Genomic DNA, 10,447 nt, shown 5'->3' with positions numbered 1-10,447 from the left:
GGTGTGGTGTGGTGCTGAAAAAAATGTATATTCTGTTGATTTGAGGTGGAGAGTTCTGTAGATGTCTATTAGGTCTGCTTGGTGCAGAGCTGAGTTCAATTCCTGGGTATCCTTGTTGACTTTCTGTCTCGTTGATCTGTCTAATGTTGACAGTGGGGTGTTAAAGTCTCCCATTATTAATGTGTGGGAGTCTAAGTCTCTTTGTAGGTCACTCAGGACTTGCTTTATGAATCTGGGTGCTCCTGTATTGTGTGCATATATATTTAGGATAGTTAGCTCTTCTTGTTGAATTGATCCCTTTACCATTATGTAATGGCCTTCTTTGTCTCTTTTGATCTTGGTTGGTTTAAAGTCTGTTTTCTCAGAGACTAGGATTGCAACCCCTGCCTTTTTTTGTTTTCCATTTGCTTGGTAGATCTTCCTCCATCCTTTTATTTTGAGCCTATGTGTGTCTCTGCACGTGAGATGGGTTTCCTGAATACAGCACACTGATGAGTCTTGACTCTTTATCCAATTTGCCAGTCTGTGTCTTTTAATTGGAGCATTTAGTCCATTTGCATTTAAAGTTAATGTTGTTATGTGTGAATTTGATCCTGTCATGATGATGTTAGCTGGTTATTTTGCTCATTAGTTGATGCAGTTTCTTCCTAGTCTTGATGGTCTTTACATTTTGGCATGATTTTGCAGTGGCTGGTACCGGTTGTTCCTTTCCATGTTTAGCGCTTCCTTCAGGAGCTCTTTTAGGGCAGACCTGGTGGTGACAAAATCTCTCAGCATTTGCTTGTCTGTAAAGTATTTTATTTCTCCTTCACTTATGAAGCTTAGTTTGGCTGGATATGAAATTCTGGGTGGAAAATTCTTTTCTTTAAGAATGTTGAATATTGGCCCCCACTCTCTTCTGGCTTGTAGGGTTTCTGCCAAGAGATCCACTGTTAGTCTGATGGGCTTCCCTTTGTGGGTAACCCGACCTTTCTCTCTGGCTGCCCTTAACATTTTTTCCTTCATTTCAAGTTTGGTGAATCTGACAATTATGTGTCTTGGAGTTGCTGTTCTCGAGGAGTATCTTTGTGGCGTTCTCTGTATTTCCTGAATCTGAATGTTGGCCTGCCTTGCTAGATTGGGGAAGTTCTCCTGGATAATATCCTGCAGAGTGTTTTCCAACTTGGTTCCATTCTCCCCATCACTTTCAGGTACACCAATCAGACGCACATTTGGTCTTTTCACATAGTCCCATATTTCTTGGAGGCTTTGCTCATTTCTTTTTATTCTTTTTTCTCTAAACTTCCCTTCTCCCTTCATTTCATTCATTTCATCTTCTATCGCTGATACCCTTTCTTCCAGTTGATTGCATCGGCTCCTGAGGCTTCTGCATTCTTCACGTAGTTCTCGAGCCTTGGTTTTCAGCTCCATCAGCTCCTTTAAGCACTTCTCTGTATTGGTTATTCTAGTTATACATTCTTCTAAATTTTTTTCAAAGTTTTCAACTTCTTTGCCTTTGTTTTGAATGTCCTCCTGTAGCTCAGAGTAATTTGATCGTCTGAAGCCTTCTTCTCTCAGCTCATCAAAGTCATTCTCCATCCAGCTTTGTTCCATTGCTGGTGAGGAACTGCATTCCTTTGGAGGAGGAGAGGCGCTCTGCTTTTTAGAGTTTCCAGTTTTTCTGTTCTGTTTTTTCCACATCTTTGTGGTTTTATCTACTTTTGGTCTTTGATGATGGTGACGTACAGATGGGTTTTTGGTGTGGATGTCCTTTCTGTTTGTTAGTTTTCCTTCTAACAGACAGGACCCTCAGCTGCAGGTCCGTTGGAGTACCCTGCCATGTGAGGTGTCAGTGTGCCCCTGCTGGGGGGTGCCTCCCAGTTAGGCTGCTCGGGGTCAGGGGTCAGGGACCCACTTGAGGAGGCAGTCTGCCCATTCTCAGATCTCCAGCTGCGTGCTGGGGGTACCACTGCTCTCTTCAAAGCTGTCAGACAGGGACATTTAAGTCTGCAGAGGTTACTGCTGTCTTTTTGTTTGTCTGTGCCCTGCCCCCAGAGGTGGAGCCTACAGAGGCAGGCAGGCCTCCTTGAGCTGTGGTGGGCTCCACCCAATTCGAGATTCCTGGCTGCTTTGTTTACCTAATCAAGCCTGGGCAATGGTGGGCGCCCCTCCCCCAGCCTCGCTGCCGCCTTGCAGTTTGATCTCAGACTGCTGTGCTAGCAGTCAGCGAGACTCCCTGGGCGTAGGAACCTCTGAACCAGGTGGGGGATATAATCTCGCGGTGCGCCGTTTTTGAAGCCTGTCGGAAAAGCGCAGTATTCGGGTTGGAGTGAACCGATTTTCCAGGTGCGGTCTGTCACCTCTTTCTTTGACTAGGAAAGGGAACTCCCTGACCCCTTGAGCTTCCCAAGTGAGGCAATGCCTCGCCCTGCTTCGGCTCGAGCACGGTGCGCACAACCACTGACCTGCGCCCACTGTCTGGCACTCCCTGGTGAGATGAACCCAGTACCTCAGATGGAAATGCAGAAATCACCGTCTTCTGCGTCGCTCATGCTGGGAGCTGTAGACCAGAGCTGTTCCTATTCGGCCATCTTGGCTCCAAAATCGATATCAAGGCACCAGTAGATTCTGTGTCTGGTAAGAACCCATTCTTTGGTTCATAGGCATCTTCTTTTTGCTGTGTCCTCACACAGTGGAAGAGGCAAGGAAGCTCTCTGGGACCTCTTCTCTAAGGTTCTTAATCCCATCCATGAGAGCTCTGCCCTCATAACTTAATAACTTCCCAAAGGCCCTACCTCCAAATACTATCACATTGTTATGTGGTCTTTGGGGTGTTGCTTGTCTGGACACCTCTGTGGCTGGTGGTGCATTTGCCTGAGTTTTGCTTGGGCCAATTGGGCTCGTTCCACTTACTCAGCCTGGCAGGCTGTGCTTGGTTCATGCTACTGGCCTGGATCCTAGGCCTGTAAAGGGCATGTCAGGCATGGAGTAGTGAGGGATGTGTGAGTGAGTGTGGGGTCCAGCCACTGTGCAGTGAGACATGCTGGCTGCTGCAGCAGGGTGGGCAGCTTTGGGTGCTGGCATGGGTGCTGGCTCATTTAGGTTGTGGCTGGACCATGTGCACTGCAAGCTGCTTCCCCAGCTGGCACAGGGGAATATGGTGGCACCCAGAAGCTTTGAGATGTGAAGAACTGCAGGGCCCCAAAGAGGAAATCATAGCTCTGTTTTGGGGAGCTCCCAGGTCTGGGCTTCCTGAAGGGCTGCAACTCTTCTCTCCTTCTCTTCACCTGCAATGGTACAAACAAAGGGCATGTCTCAGCCCTGTTTGTGTTACAGCTCATTTAGCCTCACCATTCGGTGTGTCCCAAGTTCTTGTGCTGTAATAAGGAAGAATGAGGTATGCAGACAAATGGAGGGTGAGCAAGATGAAGAGGAGCTTTATTGAGTGATAGAACAGCTCAGAGGAGACCCACAGGAGGTGTCTCCGTTCAGCAACTGGGATGTCCTGAAGAGTGTTCAGCTTTCAGCAGAGAGGGTAGCTCTTTTCCACAGGCAGGTTGTCCCAAGAAGTGTTCAGCTCTCAGCAGAGAGGGTAGCTCCTCTCTACCATCCCATTGCTAGAACATTGTTAGACCTTTCTACCATCCCATTGGTAGACCATCCCATAGATAACCCTTTCTGATCATCCCATTGTCTGCAGCTCTCAGCAGTGAAGAGGCCCTGGAGTGGGTTGCTCCTCTCTGCAGGCAGGTCGTCTCTTCATCTCCCAATTATTTCTCTATCCTTTCTTCCAGTCTGACTGAGTCAGGGTTTTTTAATGGGTCTCAGAGAGAAGCAAGTGCCTGCTGATTGGACCATGGGCGGCCATTGGAAGGCCCAGGGGAAAATACCACAAGTTCCCCCTGTGGTCTGAGGGACCAGAGGCCTGGTCTCCAGGCTTCAGGCCATCCCCAGTTTGAAGGTGGGGCTTCACCAGGGACCCACCCCCTTCTTCCCAGGAACCTGTCTGCCTCCTGCTACCATTCATGGTGCCCAGACTGTTCATCTCAAAGGGGGACCTGCAGGCCAGTGCCAGGCTGTTCTCATCCCCTCACCCCCTGACCTCCTTTCCATGCTGGTCAGCACCCAAAGTCCAGAGGGGGCTGAGGTGGCAGGAGGCTACCATGTCAGCACTGCCCCAAGCATGTGCACCCCCAGCTGGACTGTGACAGTGCCCAGGCTTGGCTCTAACCTTGCTCTGAGATTGGAGCAGGCACTGAGAGTGGGGAGAAGCCAGGCAGCGGGAGCAGGCACCTTTGAGCTCTCAGTGGGGTAGGGAGACATTCCTGGGCCCCCGAGAGTGCAGAGATGCCTGGTCTGCAGCCACAGCAGGGAGGCTGCAACTGCGTCCAAAGATCTCCTGCCACACCAACCCAGGAGGGTCACTTGTCCCTGGCTCCTGGGACTCTGTGAAGCATGCAGTCCCTGCCAAGCCTCCTTGCAGCCTGGGGCAGGAGCTACAGGTCCTTGCTGGGCCTGGGCCAGCATCCAGGAGAGGGGTGACATTGCTGCAAGTTCTTCCCATGGCCCTGGCACTCAGGGGCAGCCTGGGTCTCCCCATTGTCTGGATTGTGGCCCTGCCCAGGGGTTTGCTTCCAGGAGCAGATCATGGGCCCCAGGCCTGGACTTTGGGGGCATCAGGCTTGGTGGTCACCTTGATGTGGTGTGGACCCTGGGGACACAGCCCCAGGCAGCTCCACAATGAGCCTTCTCCTGAGGTGCAGGAATGTAACACCCTTGGTGGCATGGGTGTGGTGGCTATGCTGCTAGTCCGGTCTCTGAAGCAGGCAATGCTCCCATTTCCTGCTCTGTGTTCAAGCCTGGCACCACCCCAGGCCCAGCTCCACCTTGGGGCCCCTCTCGGCCCACCCCATCTTGCCCAACCATGCTGCTCCCCCATCGGCGGGTAACTTGGCCTGGCTCCATTGCAGCAGCCCCCAGGATGGTGAGCTCCAGGGGTCTTCCAGTGGAAGACTCCAGTGACTGTCTGCCTCCTTCCCAGGCCCTCCCTGCAGCAGTGGTGGGCCATTGTAGTGATGCGGGGCCAGGGTCCGGGCAGTGGAGGCTCCAGGCCTAGGGGAAGGTCTTGCCTGGCTGCACAAGGGTGGGGGTGGCGCATCCCACTGCCACCACTGCTGGTCCTGCAGCAGCTCCTGCCACCACCGCTTGCGCCTCTCGCTGCAGCTGGTGTGATGGCAGCAGCCACTCTGGATGGCCTGCTGCTGCCATCAACATTGGTGATTAAGTTTCAACATATGCTTTTTGGGGGGATGCAAGCATTCATACCATACCAAGGTATAAATGGAGGAATCATCAGCACATAGCTTGTGGAGAATTAAAGGAAACTAAATCGCTTCACTAAGGGAATGAACTGGAAATACTACAGAGGAGAAAATAGTATTTACGTATTACACATCTTTACTGCTTGTCTACATTTATTTTTTAATTGTCCTAACAACTTTGTGAAGTGCAGATCACTTTTACCACCTGGAACCCTTATCCCTTAATTTCTCCATAGCTGATTTCTTCTCATTTCTTATGATCTCAGCCCGATTCCCACTTTCTTAAAGACATCTTCCAAATCTATTTATCTAAAATAGGTTGTTTCCTCTTTCAACCATGTTATTTTCCACCCCATACACTTTTCCTTTATGATGCTCATCACCACAGGCAGTGTTTTCTTTCACTGTTTTCTTATTTATTGTTTGTCTCTTCCTCTAGTCTATAAGTCATGAAGGTTTGGCCCCTCTGCTTTTTTCAAAGCACTGTACTAGCATCCTATAGGCACTCAACAAACATGTTGAAAGACGAAATGGATCTCAATTTACAGATAAGGAAACTCTGATTAGTCAACAGCACAGCCCAGAGTTTTTGACTCTTAATTATGTCAAAATCCTCTAAATTGTTCATGCCAGATGGTAGTTCTGATGACCTGTTGCTGCATAACAAACCACCCAAGACTTACTAGTTTACAGCAACATTTTATTATTATTTCTCATGATTCTGTGGTTTGTCTAGGTTCTGATCATCACCACTCACTTGGAACCTCCCATGTATTTGCGGTCAAATGGTGGCTTGGGCTGGAGTCATCTAGAGGCTTGACTAGGCTGGACATCCAAAATAGCTTCTTCACTCACATGTCTGGTACCTGGGCTTGGATGGTTGGAGCAACTCAGGCTGTGTCTTTCTCTATTTCCATGTGGCTTCTCACGTGGCTAACTTGGGCTGTTTTATAACATGGAAGACTTGGAGTCATCTTCTTACATGGCAAGTGTCTTCCCTCAAAATAAGTGTTCCAAAGGAACCCCAGTAAAAGCTGCAAGGTTCTCTATAAACTAGCCTCAGAAGTCATGCAGCATTACTTCCACTACATTCTGTTGGTCAGTCACAGGTGAGTCACAGGATCAGACTGACCTCAAGCAGAGGGGACTATGCATGGGATTTGCACACCAGGAGGCATGGTCCATCTTCAGAGACTAGCAACCATAGTGATGTCCTCATTAAGAGTCTGAAAGTCAACTTCTCCTCTCCTTCCCTACTTCCAACCAAGTTAAACATGTACATTCTTGATGTGATTTGGCTCTGTCCCCACTCAAATCTCATCTTGAATTGTAGTTTCCATAATCCCCACGTGTCATGGGAGGGGCCCAGTGGGAGGTAATTGAATCACAGGGTCTGTTACCTCCATACTGTTCTTGTGATAGTGAGTAAGTTCTCACAAGATCTGATGATTTTATAAGAGGCATTTCCCCCTTTTGCTTGGCACTTCTCCTTGCTGCCACCATGTGAAGAAGGACATGTTTGCTTCCCCTTCCACTATGGTTGTCAATTTCCTGAGGCCTCCCCAGCCATGCTGAACTGTGAGTCAATGAAACCTCTTTCCTTTTTAAATTATTCAGTCTTGGCTATGTCTTTATTAGCAGTGTGAGAATGAACTAATATAGTACTTCAGGTCAGACATGCTTTAACTTTTCTGTTTTCATGAACGCTAGGAAAGCCCTACCTTCTGGAAACATGGAATCCTAGAACTAGAATCTTAGAGCTCCCAGAGCTAGAATCCCAAAGGTCACCTAGACCAACCCTATGCCTTTTAGGTAATCTAGAGAAACCCTAATGGAATAAATTCAGCAAATTGAGTGCTATTTTGCACTGACTTTTATTATAAAGCTGGAGAAAATTTTGGAAAATACTTGACCCAAAGGTGAATAAGGCCATTACAGAGAAAATATATATGTATGTATGTGTGTGTGTGTGTGTGTGTGTGTATGTGTGTGTATATATGTTTGTGTGTGTTTATATGTATATGTATGTGGTTTTATTTCTATATATAAAAAGATGACACCTTACTAAACATTAACAATAGCATAAACATTGTAATACTTAAATAATCTAGTCCCTCAAATAAAGCTCACTTATTTTGTTCATCATAGCCATCTTCATAGACATAGAAATTTGACTTTTTTTAAATCAGTTTTAAACTAAATTAGATTTAACTTCAAATTTTGTTTGTCATTTAAATCTTTGTAAACTTTTCTTTTCACTTGACTCCTCTGACCTCTTTTTGGGTAGGAGCATTTAGTGTAATCTTGATGTTGATGACAGAATACCAGGATAGAAGACAGTAATAGCACAAACAGCCAGTAATCAAAATGTTCACATCTGGTTAGTAATGATGATCCCAATGCAAATTGAACAAAGAACATTATATAATGGATACTGAGATACTTCATTGCCTGATAAGGGGAGGATGCCTTCCAAAATTAGTAGGTTATTATTTTGAAGAAGTGTTCTCATAATAAATATGTATTTTATAAATGATGAGTGCATCTTTAGTGTCATCAGGAGTCTAAGATAGTGTCTGAAAATGTATTGATCATTTTTGTGTTATAGCCCGTTGTTGTGTTTTAGGTGAGCATATGTCATAGAATCACAGGGTAGGGTACCACTGGTAGAGTGCAGATCCTGCTAGTCCCTATCTGTCAGCCACTCTCCCTTTTTCTTGCTAAGAGAATTCTGGTTTGGTTCAGGGTGGCAAAGTGCCTGGGTGAAAATATTTGAAATAATTACATACTGAATCTCCCAGCCTTCCTTATACTTTGAGTTAGCCATGTGAACACAGTTCTAGTAAATGATATTTTGGAAGAAATACATTTCTGACATTTCTACATGAAAGGTCAAATTCTTGTTAGGAGAAAATTCTTCTCCTCTTTTCCCTTCCTCCTTATTTCTGGCTGGAATGTGATCAAGAGATCTGAAAGTACAGGATCCATCTTGCAACCATGAGGTATGCCTAGACTTTTTGCAATATAAGGCAAATAAACCTCCTCTTCTTTAATCCACCCAACCATTGTGTTTCTAATATTGGCAGCTGTATCTATTTCCCATTTATGCAGCAAAGCAACAGAGATAAATTAATTCTTAACTTGATTCCCTATTTCCAGGCAAACGAAATTTGAGCAAAATGTTAAGCAAGGTGGCACAGATCTCAATGCAGTTTGCCATCATGCTCACACTCTAGCTACTACAATAGCCTCTAACTTCTCTCCTTGCCTTTAATCTTTGCTCCCTAAAATCCACTCTCCACAAAATTAACAGTTTTTTCAAGGTACATTATATTGCTTCTCTACTTTAAGCCCTACTGGCTTTCTACAGCAATTAGAAAAAAAAAAAATCTCAAAACCCCTGCAAAGCCTATGAGTCTTGGCTGTTGGATGCTCTTTTCCTCCTTGATCTGGTTCCTCCTTCCTCCCTGACCTCATCTCATATTAAAAGACTACTGTGGAGGCCAAGCAGGCTATGCACAGCATGTTGCCAGAGGTTGCCACCCATGTTAGTTCAGGGAATTAGGAATAGCCATTTATGGCTATCTAGTACTTCTGATAGCTAAGACTTATTTCATTTCTGTTTTTCTTTCAGGCACAAAAGAAAAATGTGGTAAATGGTCACTCCCTATCTCTCTATAGTGGTGTATATTAATGTAGTCATCTTCTAGAACTATTACTTTATTCATATTTCATGTGGGATCAAATGCTGGGGTACAATGCTAAAATTAGATAAAACAAATGTATAAATGATCCAACTGAAGAAGGCTTACAGAGCAATACACAACTTTACTATTTGCAGTACCTCCTTATTTTCTTCCCAATAAACATGGCACATGTGCTTGGTCTTTTGTGAGGAGGTTATCTTCACCTTTCAAGAATCTAACTTAATTATCTAGTGAAGCCATTTTAATCTTTGAGAAAGGTAGTTTGAAATTGCTATACCCTTTATGTTTCTATAGTTAATACAGCAAGCATCAGTGGAAACAATCCTCCATTTGGCAGCCCAATGAGAGTTGAAACAAACATCTGTTTCCTGCCCTATTGACTCGACAGAAAACAGGTATTTTCTGTAATTTGCCAAATTCGAGTATCCTAATTCAAATTCGTCAAAACCAGTTGCATTTCCTAACTGTTCAGAATTTTCATGGCAAAATAAATCCATAGCAAGCAAGGGCACAGTTATTTTACAGTTTTCTCTTTGATTACAAAACAAATTCCCTAAAAATCTGAACTCCTAGGACTGCCAAGTTGGGAGGAGTAAGGACAGCTGAAAAGCTCTGTGATGTGACTGGTTTCAAAGCGTCCAGAGGAAAGACCACTAAAAGTAATCAAAATCTTATAACTTCCACGTTTTCTCCTCTACCCCATTTGAAGAAACATTTTAGCACTCTCTCTTAAGAGAAAATGCCATGTCTTCCTTTCTTCTAAGTTTTGATTTCCAGATGTATTCAACTATGATTTAACAAAAAGAACATGTTTTTATCATGAATTTAGTTCATGGTGTCCTGCTACTCTGAAATACATAGTTGCAGGGTGATTATCTCTGACCAGTGAACTTTTAAAAGAGATTTTCCTGCCTATTTTAGTCTTTCTTGTTATCTTCACTTAATCCAGCTCCCTTTGTGTAAAGAAATGGTATGCATTAGGTACATGTATGGCTTTGTGTTATAATTTCCACTTTTCTGTGTGATTCTTCCAAATAAGGGGAAAATGTAGAGATTGAACATAAGTGATTTTGAAAGAACAATTCATTTTATTTACTCAGGACAGAGAACTGTCTATTTGATTACATCATTGTAGGGCTAAATTTCTAGTAATTAACATTCATGTAAATTAAAGTGCTGTTAGAAAAAGAGGACATTTAGTAATAATGAATCACAATTTATCTCCAAGAACCAGACCACTTAGCTGGCTCTTCAAGGGTCACTGAAAATGTCTGTCTCTTCTTCCTGACCACAGTGCAATCACCTGGGGAGTCTTCTTTTCTTCCTTCTGTATACCCAGAACCAGTCTCGTTGCTTGGCAGTTATTCACTCAGTACTTGCTGCGTGTTCAGCAATAATATATAAGCAGATTGTATACAGTACCAGCCATTCCTAGTGCTT

General features: G+C 44.7%; 1 annotated feature.

Moving 5' to 3' along the window:
- Positions 1,755–2,640: an enhancer, noted in NCBI's record as "NANOG-H3K27ac-H3K4me1 hESC enhancer chr8:92881686-92882571 (GRCh37/hg19 assembly coordinates)". NCBI's record gives its function as "activates a minimal SCP1, AML or CMV promoter by ChIP-STARR-seq in primed H9 embryonic stem cells {active_cell/tissue: H9 hESC(primed)}" and the evidence as "EXISTENCE:reporter gene assay evidence [ECO:0000049][PMID:30033119]".

Source organism: Homo sapiens, chromosome 8, assembly GCF_000001405.40.
Source record: "Homo sapiens chromosome 8, GRCh38.p14 Primary Assembly".
NCBI classification, from domain to species: Eukaryota; Metazoa; Chordata; class Mammalia; order Primates; family Hominidae; genus Homo; species Homo sapiens.
Note: the sequence above shows the minus strand (reverse complement) of the source record. Positions and strands in the feature narration are given on the sequence as shown.